Raw genomic sequence first — 19,572 nt, 5'->3', positions numbered from 1 at the left:
CGCATGGTGAGCCCAGCTGCTTTTGCCCATCTCAGAGCCCCTGGGGAAGCCCAGCCACACACTCAAGTCCTTGATGACAGAGGGTTCCTTGGTTCAACCCAGCTTTGGTTGCTGTGTGACTGTGGGCAGGTCACCCAGGTTTCTGGGCCTCCATCTCCCCACCTGCACAGCACAGGAGCTGAAGAGATGGCCTCTGGGGGCTCTCCCCCGGCCCCAACCAAGCCTCTGAGAAGCACACCCTCTTTGCTGAGTCCCACAGACATCTCTGAGCACATAAGTTCAGGAAAATCCAGTGCACCTCAGAACAAGGGGCTCAGGGCCTGTGTGCAGAATCCAGCACGCAGGAGGACTTTACAAGCCACCAAGAAACCTGTGATGTTGGAGGAAGCAAACTTACGGTGTTGATGCCCATGTAATTTCCATGAATCACGAGGGAGGCCCCCTGATCACCATCCTCTCTGTGCTTGGCAAGTAGAAAGAGAGGAGGAAAGGTCTTTGCAGTTCCCCACAGAAGCCAGAGGAAAGCTTTTCAACTAATGAAACCACAGAAAACAAACCTGACAAGTTACTCCTGGCAAGTTTCTCTGTCTAACCCAGTCGCAGCTAGACACATGTGCCAGGTAAACTGAAATTACTTAAAACTAAAGTTGACACTCAGTTCCCCAGTCACACTAGCCACTAAGTGCTCAATAGCCACAGGTAGCAGGTGGTCACCACACTGGCCAGCACAGCTCTAGACTGCTCCATGGGGCAGGGCCTTAGACAGGTCCAGAGCTGCATCCCAGCACCCAGCACAGGGCCCAGCCTACATAGGTGGAAATATTTAATGAATGATGAATGAGTGAATGACTTGAGTCAGTGAACGTGAAAATGTTTGGTAGATTGTAATACGCCGATATTGTGTAATACGTAAAATACTATTAGGAACTACAGCAATGTCTTATATTCCCAGCTAGGCCATGCACAGGAGGCAGTGTGCCACAGCACACTGAAAAGGTGGCCAGCCCTCACTCAGAGCCTGCCTTCACCACCTGCCAGCTGTGTGGCCACAGAGAGGGCCTAATGCTCTGAACCATGTATGTCCCTCTCATCTGTGAGATGCGGAAGTAACAGCTGCCTTAGAGCGGGCAGTGAAGATTAGGTAACAGCACCTGGTATACAGGGGCTAATGAATTGCTGGGAGTTTGTTTCTCCTTTTTTTTTTTTTTTTTTTTTGAGATGGAATCTCGTTCTCTTGCCTAGGCTGGAATGCAGCGGTACAATCTCCGCTCACTGCAACCTCCACCTCCCAGGTTCAAGCGATTCTTCTGCCTCAGCCTCCCAAGTAGCTGGGACTACAGGTGCACACCACCATGCCTGGCTAATTTTTGTATTTTTAGTAGAGACATGGTTTCACCATATTAGCCAGGCTGGTCTCGAACTCTTGACCTCAAGTGATCTGCCCACCTCAGCCTTTCAAAGTGCTGGTATTACAGGCATCAGCCACCGTGCCCGGTCCTTTTTTTTTTTTTTTTTTTTTTCAATTGAGACAGAGTCTTGCTCTGTCACCCAGGCTGGAGTGCAGTGGCATGATCTCAGCTCACTGCAACCTCCGCTGCCTGGGTTCAAGTGATTCTCCTGCCTCAGCCTCCCAAGTAGCTGGGACTACAGACGCCCAGCACCATGTCTAGTTAATTTTTTTGTATTTTTAGTAGAGACAAGGTTTCACCGTGTTGGCCAGGCTGGTCTTGAACTCCTTACCTCAGGTGATCCGCCCACCTCGGCCTCCCAAAGTGCTGGGATCACAAGCGTGGGCCACCACACCTGGCCAAGTAATTCCCTCTCTTACTTGTTAAAGAAAACCGTAGATCCCCTGCCATGCCCTGCAAAGAGATGGAATGACTTTTGGAGAATTCTCCCAACTCCTTATATGAAAAAGGCTCCTTTCCAGACTTGAAGCCCTAATAGAGTTAGAACACCTTGGTCTCAGGTTCAGAATCGCAGCTGCCCCCTGACATCAAGCAGGCCTAACCTGGGAGGGTGATTCGGCCTCAGTCCCAGGGGAAGCAGGGGGCCGAGAAGTCTGTGGGAAGGGGAGGACTCGGTTTCTAGAGGCCCAAAGTTAGTAAGATCCAGATGCTTCCATTTCCAGAGGTGGGGGCCTGGCCATTTCCCCACCCCTGCCACGATCATGGATACCCTGAGAAGAGCATTTATTTCCTGTAATACACCTCAGGAAAATCAAGAAATTATTCCTTCTGAGTACATGACTTGCTGAGTTTCAAGCACCAAATGCTGCCCCTTTAGGGGTTTCCCGGGCCCAGGGGCTGTCAAGGAGCAGATCCAGCTCCTGGAGCAATGCCCTAGCTTGTCCCCACCTACCTTTAGTTTCTTCCCATTCTCAGTGTCCCCACCTCCTGGCATTCTCAGCAGCGGGTCTGGAAGGTGACAGAGCAGAATCAGAAAACTTCTGGTGGCAGAGAAGTCTCCCCTCCTCGGACCACCCAGAGGACAGCACTGGGAAACAGGCCCATGGGGCTGCCCAGGGCCACTCCTGGCCTCAGGATGTGGGGACACCTGAGGCTCAATCCAGACAGGGACTCAGGAGCCAGGGCTGCATGTGGGAAAGGCAGAACATGGAAAAGGGTCATGAAATCCACATTCTGAGCCTTAGGGATCATGGCAGGACCTAAACGCCCTGTCTGTAGAGGTGGGTATCCCAAGATGAGCAAGGCAGCCTGGGGGATCCCTGAGACATGGAGCTGGGAAGGGGCCACTGGGGAAGCATAAAGTACCCCACAAGGGAGGGAGCTAAACCACATGGGGTCAGACCATAGCCTCTACAGTAAAAGTCCAACCAGATAAACAGTGGAGGCATGGGCAAGAGGCTTCCTGCAGCCTGCACTCTAGCAAGTGCTCCTGAGAAGTCCCTGCACCCAGCAGGCTGATAGCATTCTCAGTAGCAGGGGCCACCAAATACCAGTACTGATGCCGCTATGCAGGAAAGGAGGGAGGGGGCAGGTCCTGGGAAGGGAAGCTGAAGGGGGTGTGCAGGTACCTCTCAGCGGCCGCAGTCGCCGCCTGGCCACCTTCAAGTGCTTGGTCCGGCCCAGGTGCTCCCCTAGGAGGTAGTACCAACCACTGATCTCCTGTCACGAGAGAAGGAATGGCACGCTCAGACACAGGAGGCAGAAGCACAGGTCAGGCAGCCACCAATCCCCCTCCAAAAGTAGCCACTGGACACCCACCCACAGGAGAGACAGACTCTCCAGCCTTCCTGGCCCCGAGCTGCCATGCCTGCACCTCCAGGAAGCCTTCCGTGATGCTCAGGGCAGATCTGGCTCTCCCCTCTGCCAAATTCCCACAGCCTCTTATCCCTGGAGGACAACCATCTACTTGCCTGTCTCCCCCACTAAGTTGTGCACAGGCTCTTTGATGTGCCTCACACTATGCCTGGTATACAGTAGGAGCCATATTTGTTGACAGAACAGAAGTGAAGGAGTGAAAGAGGGATGGAGAGACCAAAAGGCATCCTGTGGCTCCTGAGCAGTCTCCAGGGGGAACATCTTTTCTAGGAGAATGAAGCCAAGGCTGCAGTCAAGAGAAGCTCTAGACCGGGCGCGGTGGCTCACACCTGTAATCCCAGCACTTTGGGAGGCCGAGACGGGTGGATCACCTGAGGTCAGGAGTTTGAGACCAGCCTGGCCAACATGGTGAAACCCCATCTCTACTAAAAATACAAAAATTAGCCAGGCGTGGTGGCAGATGCCTATAATCCCAGCTACTCAGGAGGCTGAGGCAGGAGAATTGCTTGAACCTGGGAGGCGGAGGTTGCAGCGAGCCAAGATCACAACACTGCATTCCAGCCTGGGCAACAGAGTGAGACTCCGTCTCAAAAGAAAAAAAAAAGAGAGAGAGAGAGAGAAGCTCTTTAGGACTCACATGCAGGATAAAGGGTCCTCAGCCACCCACCCCAGGACAAAAATCTGCGTGGCAGGCCATGCCACAAGCCACCAGGACATTTCCAGGGATGTGCAAAAGGAGTGCTCCCCACCCTCCACCTTCCAGTTTGGGGAGTCCAGTGCAGCGTAGAAATTGATAAGGGACCAGTGACCCAGAGCTAGGAGTCTTGGGTCCCAAAGAGTCCTCCTCCAGCCTGAAGGAAAGCTCCACAGAGGATGGTGCTGCTCACTCCATCCTTGAGCACCTGTTAGGCCCAGAAATATCAGGCCTGGTAGACACATGAAGAGGACCCCTGGAACGGACCACGGGTGCACCTGGCCCTCATCTTCTGGGGCAGGCCCAGGAGTGCTCTGGGCCCCAAGGGATCTGCCAATGTCTTCAACAGCAGACACCAGACTCAGAGCCTCCTGGGAAGACTTGGGGCTGCCTAACAAACTGCTCTCTGGCAAGACAAACCAAGAAGGGGACCCAAACTCTCAGCTAGGCAGGTAATAAACACAGTGCTGCTATGCAGGCCACCCCACAGGGCACCTGTCTCAGTGGGGCACCATCTCACAGAGAGAAGCCCTGCCCAAGAGCTGACAGAGAAACTCTGCCTGTACCAGCCCCGGCCCAGTTGGGATGATCCTGACAGAAGCATCCCTAGGACCCACCTTGTCTGGAGTCAGGAGAGACTTCACCCCAAAGCTCATGCAGCCAATGAGTCCACTCTGTCTGGGAGAACAAGTGAGACTTGAGTCAGCATTTTTTTTCTGGGCTCTATCGGGAGGTCCATTATCAAGTATAGCATGGGTTTGCCTGATGCACTGTGGTTTACAAAGCTTTTTACCCACATCATCTCGTTTGATCCTTCTGACTCTGTGAGGCAGGATAGAGAGGAGCTATTATCTCCATTTTACAGAGGGAAAAATGGAGACTCAGAGTTGGTCCCTTTCCCAAGGTCACAGGACAAGTTCAGCACTGCCTCTACCAAACACAGAAGCTCAGCGGTACTTCATGAGTTTTAACCGTTCTGGTGCTAGGTAGATCTGAAGAGCTGGTCCCCACAGGGAACCTCCTTGCCCACATCATTGGTGATGCTCAGTGGAGGAGAACAGTTATGGGACCTCAAGCTCAAGAAGTTCTATCTCAGGTCCAGGAAGGAGCTGAGCAGTTCTTAGATGGCTACAGATCAAGGTCCAAACCAACCTGACACAAAAGCTGCTGAGACCAATCTGACCTGGCCACCAGCAGGGCAGGTAGGCATGGGCCAGGGTCAGGCCTCATGGGGATGTCAGACTATGGCGAGGGGCTAAATTCAATCTTCTTGGTTAAAAAGAATTCACAGCTGGGCACGGTGGCTCACGCCTGTAATGCCAGCACTTTGGGAGGCACAGGCAGGCAGATCACTTGAGGTCAGGAGTTTGAGAACAGCCTGGCCAACATGGTGAAACCCTGTCTCTACTAAAAATACAAAAATTAGCCCTACGTGGTGGTGCATGCTTATAATCCTAGCTACTCAGGAGGCTGAGGCAGGAGAGTCACTTGAAACCAGGAGGTGGAGTTGCAGTGAGCCAAGATCGCACCACTGCACTGCAGCCTGGGTGACAGAGCCAAGACTCCATCTCAAAAAAAAAGAAGAAGAAGAAGAAGAAGAATTCAGAGTTCCTGAAGAATGTCCACCATTGAGGCTCAATGTCCAATAATCAGGGACTAAGAGTTGGCAGCTTTTAATAATGATGGCATGGGCCAGGTGCAGTGGCTCACACCTGTAATCCAGCACTTTGGAAGGCATCACTTGAGCCCAGGAGTTTGAGACCAGCCTGGACAACAAAGGGAGACACCATCTCTACAAAAAATTTTTAAAATAGCAGGGCATGGTGGCATGAGCCTGTAGCCCCAGCTACTGAGGAGGCTGAGGTAGGAGGATCACTTGAGCCTGGGAGGTCAAAGCTGCAGTGAACTGTGATTGTGTGTTACTGTTCCTCCCTCTTGGGAAGTGGCCAAGTCAGCACTAACAGGAGGCAGTTGCAGCAACAGAGCAAGACACTGTCTCAAAAAAATAATAATGATAACATCAGTTAATATTAATAAAGTCCAAAAATATCTTGATATTGTTAGAGAAAAAGAAGTTTACAAAGCTGTAAATTTAATGAGTAATGTGAGTTTAATGAGAAAGACACCCACAAAAATACTAACAATGGTCATATCTGGTAGGTGGGATTACTAGGGGTTTAATTTTCCTTTATGGGTTTTCACTGTTTGCATAGGGAACAAGTATCGTTTTTATAATCAGGAGAAAAAAAAAGACAGTATCAATATACTTTTAAGGACTTTTATTGTGCCACATCCTGTTCTATCCTGACAGTAAGAGTTTTTTTTTAATGTCATCTTTCTGTTCTCCTCTCTCTTACCCCATCCTCAACTTGGACTAATTCATAGGTTGGTTTAATAACTATTAATCAAGAAACATCGTGGATATTTAGGCTGGAGCATAACCCTGGAGGCTGGCTTCAATAGCTGAAGGACCCACATAGCTGAGAGATTTGGCATGTCCTATGGAAGGCACAATATCAAAACCAAAGATGGAACAGGCTTCTGGATAGGTAGTAAACTCCCTAGAGATGTGTTTTCCAAAACCTGGTCTAAGGGGGCCTGAGCTAGAGCAGTGGTTCTATCCAGAAGTGTACCACAAAACCACCTGAACAGCCTGTCTGAGGTATATGCTCCAGGACTTCTTCCTGAGAACCCAAAATTAGTTGGTCCAAGGTGGGGTTCGAGCATGGGAGCCTGGAGAAAGCTCTCCAGGGTATCCTGCCAAGCACCCACTTATGCCTGCCCCAGTCAAAGACCAGTGATCTAGAAGGTCTCAAAAAAGACATATTGTTCAGATTCTCCAGAAAGCGTGGCAGCTTACCACCGGACAGTCCTAAGCAAAACAAAACTAGCTTCTCACAGGCAGCCAAGTCAAGCGAGGGGTGGGGAGGCAGGATGCTGGGGGATTGCTCCTCAAAACTGGTCCACCTGCCTGCAAACCCATGCTCTGCCCCATGGCCCAGAGCTGAGGCCCCTGCTTCTGGCTGTCTCTCAACAGCTGCTCTCAGTTCATCACTCCTGCTCCCAGCTCCTTCAGCCTTGGCTCCATCTGCTGCCTTCTTCCTTGCCTCTCTCATCATCCAAGGCTCTATTAATAATCTATTCAAAAAGGACAATGCTCTCACCCCAATAAAGTGCCCTTCCACATCCACCTCCCCAGCCCACCACCAAAAACAAATACTCCTCCCCCTTGGGAAGTAGCCAAGTCAGCACTAATAGGAGGCAGTTGCAGTGACTATCATAAACAGCCAAAACTAATCTGAGCTGCCATTCCAGAAAAGCCTTGGCAAGACTTTGCCAAAGTCCTCATACCAATTTCATTTTATTTGTCACACATTCAAGAGAACTCCAGCTGCTATCCAGGTGCCCATACTACTCTGTTGTACACTTCTTTCCTACTGGGTAGGGCTGAAACTTTCAAAGTCTCCAGGCCAATGCATTAGCTCAGCAACCTCTCTCTGCTCTTCACTAAGCGAAATCTTCATTCCCTGGTGTTTAGAGAATGTTAAATGGTTAATAGCCTCCCTCGAGTTTTACTTCCTGCTAAGGGGCCTCCCATGCTTTCATGGTAACTCAGGCAGCGTAAATTGCCACAATTAATGTCCATAAGCAGGAACCTCTCTCTAAGTGTTCTTCAATTAGCTATTTCTTATGCCTGCTTTTGAAAAATCTTTGGAGGAAGAAAGACTTCTTTTAAAGCAACCTGAGTATATGACAATACAGCAGTCAGTTTATAAACTTGGGAACTAGCGCTCACCCTCGGGAGTGCCTGAACTCTCACTAGATGCAAAGTCTCCGGAACCAAGCCTTGGTTAATTCTGACTACCAGTCCCTGAGCTCCAGGCTTGGTGCACTTAGTGAAGGCTTGACAAATGGATGAATCCATCACGTCCACGGTTGGCAGGCACTGGGCAAGGAGCCACAGCGTTAAGGAAACAACACAAACATCCAGGAATTTAAATAGCAGTTCAAGACAGCAATACAGGGGATGTCACAAGACAGGGTGCGATTGACAGATGAACAGTGCAGGCAACAAATTCTGAAGGCTCGGGGACACAAGAGGTAGTTTAGGGCTCACAGGCTGGAAGAAGACCTATGAACTGAGCCAGAGAGAATGAAGAGCATTTTGGGCAGAGGGAACAGCCGTTACAAAGGCTTTGAAGTAACTTCATGCAGCACATATGGGGAATAGTATTCAGTTTACTTTTGAGCATAGGGTTGCAGACTCATTACAAGATGAAAAAATAGATTATTTTTTGAGGAAATGCACTTTAGTTCTCCCTCTCAGGTAAATTATTTCTGTTACAGGGTTATACCATTTAATCCTAATTTATATTTAATTTGATGACTTAAATTGAACTTAGATTTTTCCATTCACTTTTTCCTTAAGCTCAGTACCCATCACTGGTCACAAGCTTTCTGACGTTAGGCCACTGTACTTGGCACTGAGATCTCATTTATAAAACAGATTAAAGGAGAGCATACACTTACAGTGCCTGGGACAGTGCAGGGCAAATCACAAGTAGAATCTCCCTAAATGTACCTACTATTAGTATAAAAGATTATGCCCTGGCTGGGCGCAGTGGCTCACGCCTGTAATCCCAGCACTTTGGGAGGCCAAGGCAGGCAGATCACTTGAGGTCAGGAGTTTGAGATCAGTCTGGCCAACATGGTGAAACCCTGTCTCTACTAAAAATACAAAATTAGCCAAGCGTGGTGGCATGCGCCTGTAATCCCAGCTACTTGGAAGGCTGAGGCAGAAGAATCACTTGAATCCAGGAGGTGGAGGTTTCAGTGAGGTGAGATCGCGCCATTCCACTCCAGCCTGGGTAACAGAGAGAGACTTCATCTCAAAAAAAAAAGATTATGTCCTTGCCTGGGCACGGTGGCTCATGGCTGTAATGTCAGCACTTTGGGAGGCCAAGGCGGGTGGATCACCTGAGGTCAGGAGATGGAGACCAGCCTGGCCAACATGGTGAAACCCCATCTCTACTAAAAATACAAAAATCAGCTGGGCATGGTGGCATGCGCCTGCAGAGTGCCAGCTACTTGGGAGGCTGAGGCCAGAGAATCGCTACCTGGGAGACAGAGTTTGCAGTGAGCTGAGATTATGCACAAGAGTGAAACTCCATCTCAAAAAAAAAGAAAAAAAAATTACTTTAAAAAAAGATTATGCCCTTTAATTACATATATATAACATTCTTTAATTACATATATAAATAATGTTTACATATAATTAATATATAATAATATATAAAGAATATATATAATATATAAATAATTATATATTAGTATATATAATTTCTATATGCTCATATATAATTATAATTAAGTTATGTATAATTATATATACCAATATATAATTATAATTAAGTTATATATAATTATATATACCAATATATAATAATTACGTTACATATAATTATATATACCAATATATAATAATTAAGTTATATATAATTATATATACCGATATATAATTATAATTAGGTTATATATAATTATATATACTGATATATAATTATAATTAGGTTATATATAATTATATATACTGATATATAATTATAATTAGGTTATATATAATTATATATACTGATATAATTATAATTGTTATATATAATTATATATAACGATATATAATTATATTTAAGTTATATATATAATTATATATACCAATATAATTATAATTAAGTTATATATAATTATATATACCAATATAAAATATAATATAATATATTATATTTTATATATTATATAATTTATAATAATATATTATATATTGAACATAATCTTTGGAGGTATAAATATAATACATATATGCATTTTTTACCTTAGTACATAACATTATAATTCTCTCCAAGTCTGTTCCCTGGCCACAAGTTCTGATTAATACTGGAAGCTTCAATTTGTCTTTTGCCATATTATCAAACAGAATTTTTAAAGCTGAGTTCCATATTCAATGGCATATTGAGGAATTACTATTAATTTTTAAGTGTGATAATGTCATCATGATTTTTTTTAAAGCCATCTTTTAGAAATATATACCGATGAGATGAGATGTCTGGGATTTGCTTTAAAATAATTCACTGGAGAAGGGGAAAGTGGATGGGGTGTAAATGAAATAAGATTGGCCATATATTGATAATTGATGAAACTCCGCTATGAGTATATGAGGGTTTATTATATGATACTTTCTACCTCTGCACACATTTGAAAGTGCCTATAAAAAACTCCCAGAAACTTGAAGCTGAAAGAAACATTAGTGATCACTGCATTTTACAGACAAGGAAATTGAGGCTCAGCGCAGGGAAGGGACTGACCCATGGTCATACAGCTAGTCAAAGCTAAGCCAAAATCTACTGTGCTGAGGCCTGGTTCTCCTCAGTTCCCACTGTGATCACCATGATGAACTGAAATCATCTGGCCCTTCCCCAGAACTTCTTTGTAGATCATCTTGTTTCTCTAACACAAGTTCACAGCCATCCCTGGAAGGATCGTGAGAATTAGTGAAACAGATGCTTTCCTGTTATCTCCTATCAGTTTCAAAATGTGACCACCACACATTTGGCTGAATAATTTACATAAAACTCCATTATAAATTCTGCGGTAGCTCATGTCTGTAATCCTAGCACTTTAGGAGGCTGAGGCAGAAGGAGCACTTGCAGCCAGGAGTTGGAGACCAGCCTGGGCAACATAGCAAGGCATCGTCTCTACAAAAAAAAAAAAAAAATTAAGTAGCTGGGTGTGGTGGCATGTACCTGTAGTCCCAGCTACTCAGGAGGCTGAGGCTGGAGGGTCATTAGAGCCCAGGAGTTCAAGGCTGCAGTAAGCTCTAATCACACCACTGCACTCTAGCCTGGGTGACAGAGTGAGATCCTGTCTCAATCAATCAATGAAACTACACTATAAATGCAAAGAGAAGCACCCTGAGTCCTGAGGAGCAAGCATACTGACACAGAAAGAGTATGCTTTGGAGTCATTTATCATCCATGTGAGATGGTCAAGTGTACCGTAATGTAGCTGCGAGAACCTGGACTTGGCGTCAGCTTGCCTGCATTTACATCTTGTTTTCACGGCACCCTATCTGTGTTACCTTAGGCAAGTTATGTAACGCCTCTGTGCCTGTTTCCTCACCTATAAAAGAGCAAAAATAATAATACCTACCTCTTATGTTGTTGTGAGGGTTAAATTGGAGAACGAGTGCCATGTGCTTAATGTCCACACACAGTAAGTGCTTGGTAAATATGAGCTGTTACATAACCTCAAGCAAGTGCCTCGGCTTTCATAAGCCTCAGTTTCCTCTTCTCTGAAGAGAGGGGCAATAATAAGTCCTACCTCTTAGGATCATGATGAGGATAAAATGAGATAATGTATGTAAAGTGCTTGGCACAGAGAAGAATTCCATAAATGTTTGTTTCCTTCCTTCCACAATTGTCTTTCATGTTGATAAGTTGAATGTCCATCCTTCAGAGAGGCACAATTTGATTTGAGAGCATTCAGCAGAGCCGAAGTTTCCTGCAATCACTCTGTCTGCCTCCTCCAGCTCAGAGGCCTTCTCGCTCCGAAATGGATCGATAAAGGAGAGAGGAAAAGGAGAGCGCAAGGAGGCCAGGCCGGCCTGCGTGCTGCTCACAGCTTCACAGGGCCCTCTGCTCCCAAGGCCCTGATCCTCCTGAGCTTCGGGCTGGGACTGTGACCGTGAGTTTGGCTGTAGTTTGTTTAATAAGGCATCTCACTTTCCCAAAATAGGCAACACGTGGAGACACTGCCCCATGACGCTGACTCACTTTCCCTGGCCTCATTTTCTTTTCCAAAAGCCATGAAGGGCATGACCGGCTCCTTCTCCAGCAGTTTGGTGTCTGCCTCCACCCAAAGGGCTTTCTGGGCGTCCATATGCCTCTCTGACACTCTGCTGTCTCCTTCAGGACCTTCCCTTCATTGGCCTGTCCCTTCAAAGACAGGGAGCGGACCCTTGGTCCTTAGCATTCGATGACCTTCCTTGACAATCTCACTTGCTCAGAATTTCACCCACTGCCTTCCTGCTCATGGCTCCCATATCTCTGTCTTCCAAGTTCCAGGTAGGCAAAGGTGAGCCCTACTTCACAGCTCTGACCTGGCTCCCCTCCAAGCACCTGCATCTCACCGTATCCCAAGCTGACTCACCTCCACCTCCAGTAACTCTGTCTTAGGTGGAGACACCACCAGCCGCCCAGGAGTTACCCTTGACTTCTCACACTGCTCTCACAGCCAAATCACCACTAAGCACTACTGATTTAATCTCCTAAATATGGCCTGAGTCTGTTTTCCCCTCCCTAGCCCCAAAGCCTCTCTCTCACCTCAACCTTCCAAAGACCTACCAAAGTGATAGATCTAGAATGTGCATCCATCATTCCCTGGCTTGACACACTTCAGTATCTCCCAATGGCCAGACATTCCCAAACACCAAAGTGACTGCAGGAGGTTCACCCTGCAAACATGTTTAAATGCAGATTTCTCAGCCCTGCCCATGAAGAGTTGGATGTAATTAATCTGACGCGGCACCTAAGAATCTAGGTTCCTGACAAGCATCCCAAGGAATTCTGATGTATATCCAGGATCGAGAACCACCGGCCCTTAGGAGAAACCCCATACTCCAAAGAGAATCTACAGAATCATCTGACTTGGCTTATACCAACCTCTTCAGCTAATCTTTAGCCAGTCCCTACTTTGTACTTAACCTTCCAGCAACGTCAATGAGTTTGCAGATCCCTCCTCACTCCACTCTTGCCCTGCCCTTCCCTCTCTACTTTACTGGCTCTTTCTTCTGTCCTTTCACCTGTCCACCCATGAGTCAGTACAGTGTTGAGAGGAAAGACCCTGGGGTCCAACCACCTGGATTCCATCCCGGCTCTATTGTTAACTGGCTGTATGACCTTAGGCAAATTCCTAACCTCTCTAAACTTTAGTTTCCTCTTCTGAAAACTTAGGACAAAACCACACTCTTCTTAGAGCTGTTGTAAGAATTAAATGAGACAGGCCGGGCGCGGTGGCTCACGCCTGTAATCCCAGCACTTTGGGAGGCCGAGGCGGGTGGATCATGAGGTCAGGAGATCGAGACCATCCTGGCTAACAAGGTGAAACCCCGTCTCTACTAAAAATACAAAAAATTAGCCGGGCGCGGTGGCGGGCGCCTGTAGTCCCAGCTACTCGGGAGGCTGAGGCAGGAGAATGGCGTGAACCCGGGAAGCGGAGCTTGCAGTGAGCCGAGATTGCGCCACTGCAGTCCGCAGTCCGGCCTGGGCGACAGAGCGAGACTCCGTCTCAAAAAAAAAAAAAAAAAAAAAAGAATTAAATGAGACAATGCACTGTTAACCCCTGGCTCCAGGTCAGCACCCAGTCAGCAATTGCTATTGTTATTAACATGACGTCCCCCTCCTCACTCTCAGCTCCAAGTCTCTATCGGTGATCCGATAGGAAAGTCTTTGACCCTATGCATGCATCCCCAGCATGTTGTTGCCACAGTGATACCCAGGAAATGGCAGCTGGATGAATGAATGAATGAGGTTTATTGTACTATACTACCCTAGGATGAAAAGTGGATACTTTATTAAAAGAGAAATCCTTCGTTTTGTATGTTAAATACACCCCGATTTTAAAAAACATATTAGCTAATAACATTTAGAGTACTAAAGAGCATTGAACCCAAAAATGTTTTCCAGGTCTCAGCTGGTGACTTGAGCTGATTTTCATTCACGGAAGCCCCTTTTCAGTCACCATTCAGTGATGTGATTGCTCCGCAAATGATACTGACCATGGGGTATCCCAGATTCCTTAGGCTGCACCAGCCAAATGAGCCACTGCCGCTAACAGTGGGCCATGGCAGTGCATTGCTGTCACTCAACAGCCAATTCTCATGCTCACCTGCCCGGCACTCCTCCCCTGCTCCGCTCTAACTGCCGTCACTAATGGCCACTTCAGCCCTCCTGTGTCCTGCACTGCCTGCAAGATCAGCCTGTTTGGATTCTCCTACACAAAACTTCTATACTCCCTTACCTGGCCTCATCATGGCAGCCTTAGCTTACAGTGAGTATTTCTGCCTCCTTGCCTTTGCTCATGCTTTGCCCTGCCTGGAATGCCATTTCCAACCTTCTTCTTTAGTTGTCTTATTCTTCATCTGTGCCCAAGTTCAAAATTCCACTTTTTCCATGAAGCCTTCCTTGATCATCTCAGACCACAGTGAACTCTCCCTCTTCCCATACTGATGGCCTTTATTACTCATGTCATTCTTTTCTTCATGCAGCCAATATCTAATAAACATCTATATGCCAGGCACTAGGTACTGTGATGACTAAAAAAGAAATAGTCCTGTTTTTCAAGGTGCTTAGAGTCCTGTAGAACTGAGCACGTACATGTTGTTATTGTAATTTCTCTCCATGCAGTGCCTGGTGTCCCCACGTGAACAGTGGACACCTTGAGAATAAATTTCCATGTGTAGGCTGGTCGGCTTCCCCAGTGACCAGCACAGTGCCTTGTTTGATACCGAGTGCTCAGCAAATGCTCATTGATAACACAGTCCTTGGTAACACCTGGAATGATGGAGACTCAAGGAGGGGCAGCCTCTGCAATTTAGTATTGCCACTATCACTCATTTATCCAGAAAGCACTAATCGAACCCCTGGTGTATGCTGGCCACCTGGCTGTCACCCACTAGCCCAGAGCAGAGTCCCCCTCCAGCTCAGCAGCTCTCCTCACCTGGACTGGCTGGCCCTGTTCCACACAGTAACCAAGAGACGCTTCTGATCATCCTCCTCTTGGACAGGACTGCGAAATCAATCAGACCATCGGAGTGTTAGTAAGGGCTGAGCTCCAGGCCATAGCTGACTCATAGAGTCAGTCATAATTCCAAAAATGTGGAAGTAACGTCAACAGCTGGTTAAATAAACTATATTACAAATAAAGTAAGAGATGACTACCTCCATGCATAAAACAGTTTATATTATGTTGTTAAGGACAAAAAGGAGGTTACAACATGCTATTATAAAATAATTCCATTTTCGGGCCGGGCACAGTGGCTCATGCCTGTAATCCCAGCACTTTGGGAGACAGAGGTGGGCGGATCATGAGGTCAGGAGATCGAGACCATCCTGGCTAACACGGTGAAACCCCGTCTCTACTAAAAATACAAAAAAAATTAGCCAGGCATGGCGGCAGGCGCCTGTAGTCCCAGCTACTCCAGAGGCTGAGGCAGGAGAATGGCGTGAACCCAGGAGGCGGAGCTTACAGTGAGCCGAGATTGTGCCACTGCACTCCAGCCTGGGTGACAGAGCAAGACTCCATCTCAAAAAAAAAAATTCCATTTTTGTAAACATACACACACAGACATATACACACACACATGCAAACATACACACCCACACGCAAACATACACATTAAAAGGTCTGAAAAGGTCTGAAAAGGACCTTAAAAGGTCTGAAAAGAAATACAGTAGGGCGTATCTGTGAGTAGGAGGGCTATAGGTGTTTTCTATTTTCTTCTTTTTACTCATCTATATTTTCTATTTTCCTATCATAACCAAAACTACTTTATGTAGTAAGAGAAAAACCAAAATATTAATTTTCACTAATAGGAAAATACAAAATGTACATTACCTTCCCATTGGCCCCAGAGTTCAGAGATTGGGGAAAGAAATAATAACAATAATAGCTGGTACCCTGTGTTATGTTATACTGTCCCATTTATACCCCACAGCTCTCTGAGGTTGCTACTATTATTAGCCCCATTTTACAAATAAGGAAGCCAAGGCTCAGAGAGGTTAGAAAGTTGAAGTAAAAAGGGGGGCAGGGAGGCAAAACATCCTTCAGCTTGGAAAATTCCTTCGGCTAAAGGAGAAAGCTTGGCCCAAGGCACAGTGGGAAATTGCCTACACTTTTTATGGGCTGCCAGCCCCAGGCTGGGCATTTTAGTTATGAGAGCTAGCCAAGTGATACCTTATCACTGTGGACCTCGCTGCTGGGCCTGGTGCCAGGGATGCAAGGACACAAGTGAGTGAGAAAACAAAGACATCCTTTAGAAGGCACTGGTTTTTTTTGTTTTGGTTTTTTTTTTTTTTTTTTTTTTGCATAGATCTAGTTCTAGATTTGGCAAACAGAGCTGTTTCCAGATAAACACTCCTTCCCTCTCCTTTCTAGGGCCCAGCTGCACCAGACTCTTACAAGAAGAAGTGCTCGTGGAAAGCCGGGTCTCTGCAGTCTGGAACGGTCTGCGTCTTCTGGTGGCGTAGTCTACTATCTTCAGGGATCAAAGAAATCTTGAATTGGAAAAAAGGAAGCATGATTAGCGGATCTCATGGCCCACCTAAGCCCAGCAGCTGACTCTGCACATCTCCAAGTTAAAGGCTTCCCAGGGTCCTTCAAGTCAGCCTCTGCAGAGGACAGAATAGAGTCCCCTGTCAGATGCTGCAAGGGAACAAGGAGCCCAGGGCAAGAGACATTGGAGGCAGATGCCAGGACAGGGCCTCATGGTGGGTGGTACCAAAAAGGCAGCCACGGCCCAGCCAGAGCTGGGGTACAACTTTATCATCTCTGCTCTTCCCCCAAGCAGAGTGGTTTCCCCAGAAGCGAAAGGACTCCTCTCTTCTAAGGTCCCAGCAGCTGCTGAGTGCTCCCTTCACGAAGGCTCCAGGTCAGCCTCTGCCAAGGCCCCAAATCCATGTTCTCAACCCAGGGCTGTTCTAGCCCTGCTCCTGATAAATTCCTTGCCAGCAGGGGCTTCTGATCAGCCTGAAGGCTTCAGGAAGAATGCTGAGGGCCAGCACCTGGAACCCCAGCTGCCACACTTTAGGAAGCTCCTGGCCTTTGGCTCTCACTGAAAGTAGAGCCCCACCCCTATAAGGACCCTGTCTTTACAGCAAAAGCCCAACCCAGAAGGATCTTCCAGCCCTCAGAGACACTCCCTCCACTCTACTGCCCAAATCTGGCCATCCTGCCCCTAGTTTGGGGGGAAAGTGGGTGAAAACGGTGCTTTTCACAAGAGGTCTTGGGATTACCTGTGGATTTCAGCCATCCACATACTCACTGCCCACCTATATAGATGACCAAGATCGCCCTTAAGATTTTGGCTGTTGCAGGAAGCCCCAGGGACCCAGCCGAGCTAAGGGAATGGGTTTGTCCCAGCACTGGGCCCAATAAATGCCTATTGAGAAGATGAGTGAGATGGCAACTGCCTCCTCAAAGGTCACCAGCCCCACAGGTGTGCTGGGACCTTGGGACTGAGCCCAGTAACATGGCCCCTCAATATCCCACTCTCCATCTCCGGCCCCACCACATACCTTCACATACGGATCACAGGTGCCAGGCTGTTTGCTGATCAGGCCTTTACCTTCTATAACTAAAAGAGAATTCAGACATTGGGGTGGATGAATGGAAACATACACACACACACAGCGAGAAAGAGAGACACACATAGACATATCCATCCACACGAATAAAGAGACCTGAAAAGAAAAGCGTATCTGTGAGTAGCAGGGCTATGGCCCCTGCTACTAGGCCCTTAATCTGCATAACCACCATTGGCTATGAACCTGCTCTGGTCTAGGCCATTCCCACCATCTTCCACTCTCTGGCAGCACCCTCACCAATGCATTACGAGGTACATTCAATTCCCTGAATCTTACAGCTGGAAGAGAACTACAGTTTATAGAATCTAACCCTTCATGTAATGGGGAAAATGAGGCTTCGAGGGGAACCCAAGATAGTAAGAAACTTGCCCACAATCACAGAACAATGGGAATGACCGCTGGATTTGGAACCCATGTCTCTTGACTCCCGGCTCAGTGCTCTACCACACAAGACTGCCTTCTAGGAATGAAGGGGCCACTCACCATGTGCCATGAGCCATGCCGTGGCACTCACGGTGTGCCGTGAGCCGTGCTGTGGCTGGCGGACAGCACAGCACAGGAGTCACAAGCTGGGGCCTCAGGGGTGGACGGACCCAGGCATGAATCCCAGCTGCACCGCTTACTCACCATATAAGCTAGAGTGAGTTGCTTTGCATGGGACAGAATTTGCCATTTTTAATGGTTTAGTGATAATAACATGCACTTCACATGGTAGTTGTTCCAATTAAATGAGGTAATGTGCCTGAAGTGCTCAGAGGAGTGCCTGGCAAATAAGTAATTGCTCAAAAAATGTTTGCTAAAGAAAAATAATAATAAATAAAGGCAAGGGGAGAGGTGTGGGGTGGGTGCAGGTGTGGTCACAAGAGTAGGCAGCACCATTTGCCTGAGGTCTATAGAAAGAAGACAATAGACCTGATAGAACCTGAGCCTCAGTTCTATTTTCTTTTACGTCTGGATTTTTTTGTTTGTTTGTTTCTTGTTTTTTTTGTTTTTTTTTTTTTTGAGATGGAGTTTCGCACTTGTTGCCTAGGCTGGAGTGCAATGGCACGATCTCGGCTCACTGCAACCTCCACCTCCCGGGTTCAAGTGATTCTCCTGCCTCAGCCTGCCAAGTAGCGGGGATTACAGGCTTGTGCCACCACACCCGGCTAATTTTGTATTTTTCGTGGAGAGAAGGTTTCTCCATGTTAGTCAGGCTGGTCTCGAACTCCCGACCTCAGGTGATTGGCCCGCCTCAGCCTCCCAAAGTGCTGGGATTACAGGCGTGAGCCAATGCACCCAGCCTTACGTCTGGTTTTCATTGAGCCCTAGGGTTTGGCTCAGACAGTGCTCCCAGTAGTCTGAGGTGCAAGGCCTGGGAAACCAATGGAAGGAGTGGGGACCGGTGGGAAGGGATGAAGGGCCTGAGACTGGGGTGAAGCCAAAGCAAACTGTGCAGGACAAATGGAGTGGTGGAGGCCAAGATGCATTTTGCAAAAACTGTTTGCACAGCTGGAGTCAGGCCCTGGCAGGCAGAGAACACCCCTCTGCTGCTCCTTGGGAACTTCACGTTGGGCCCCCCATGGCCATGACCAGAGGACCCAGGCGCCTACTAGTCTACTCTGCCCAGTATCCTGGTTACTGTTCCTGTGTGCATCATTTCCCTCGAGGGCGTGGTTCTTGAGGGCAGGACCCAGGTCTGGTGACCTCCTGGGTCTCTCTGGCCAGCAGTGACAATGAACCACACCCAGTCCCTGTCCTCATTGCATTCTCAGTCTGGCAGAGAGGCCAGACACAGGTGGCACAGTATAGTCAGGGCTGTGACAAAGACACAAAGGAGAAAGCAATAAACCCAGCCCAGACAGGTGGGTCAGGGGGATGATTCCTGGAGGGGGAAATAATAAGGCAAAATGACCCTTCCTTCCTGAGTCTTAATGATGATGAAGGCAGGCATATTTCTTGCAAAATCAGAGCAGGTGGAGAGTTATTTTTCAAAAGGGGTTCAAAACAAAAGAAAGGTTATTCCAGGCACAGTGAACAGCAGGTGCAAAGGCACAGAGGCAGGAGCAAGCAAGATGTATTCAAGGGAGTGCATGTAACTGGATAGAGCTGGAGGTGGAGGGTACCGTCAGCGGCAAGAGCCAGGGAGGCTGGAGAGATAGACAGGGCCTTCTGGGCTAAACAGAAGAGTCCTGGCAGT

At 47.4% G+C, this 19,572-nt stretch overlaps 1 protein-coding gene across 4 annotated transcripts in view; it reads right to left on the bottom strand.

The window, feature by feature from the left end:
* Nucleotides 1–19,572, bottom strand: part of RGS3 (regulator of G protein signaling 3) — a 153,009-nt gene that overhangs the window by 97,297 nt on the left and 36,140 nt on the right. For 3 of the 4 annotated variants that reach the window (NM_144488.8, NM_001394167.1, NM_017790.6), the window contains 6 exons: nucleotides 17,325–17,383; nucleotides 16,210–16,304; nucleotides 14,749–14,817; nucleotides 4,596–4,656; nucleotides 3,038–3,128; nucleotides 2,362–2,417 (listed from right to left, as the gene is read on the bottom strand). In NM_144488.8, the coding sequence (NP_652759.4) occupies nucleotides 2,362–2,417; nucleotides 3,038–3,128; nucleotides 4,596–4,656; nucleotides 14,749–14,817; nucleotides 16,210–16,304; nucleotides 17,325–17,383 (431 nt within the window). Of the gene's footprint in view, nucleotides 1–2,361; nucleotides 2,418–3,037; nucleotides 3,129–4,595; nucleotides 4,657–14,748; nucleotides 14,818–16,209; nucleotides 16,305–17,324; nucleotides 17,490–19,572 lie in introns of all 4 variants that reach the window. The other variant, NM_001282923.2, reaches the window with a different exon arrangement.

The sequence above is a fragment of the Homo sapiens genome, chromosome 9 (assembly GCF_000001405.40).
Source record: "Homo sapiens chromosome 9, GRCh38.p14 Primary Assembly".
Taxonomy (NCBI): Eukaryota; Metazoa; Chordata; class Mammalia; order Primates; family Hominidae; genus Homo; species Homo sapiens.
This window is presented reverse-complemented; position numbering and strand designations above follow the sequence as displayed.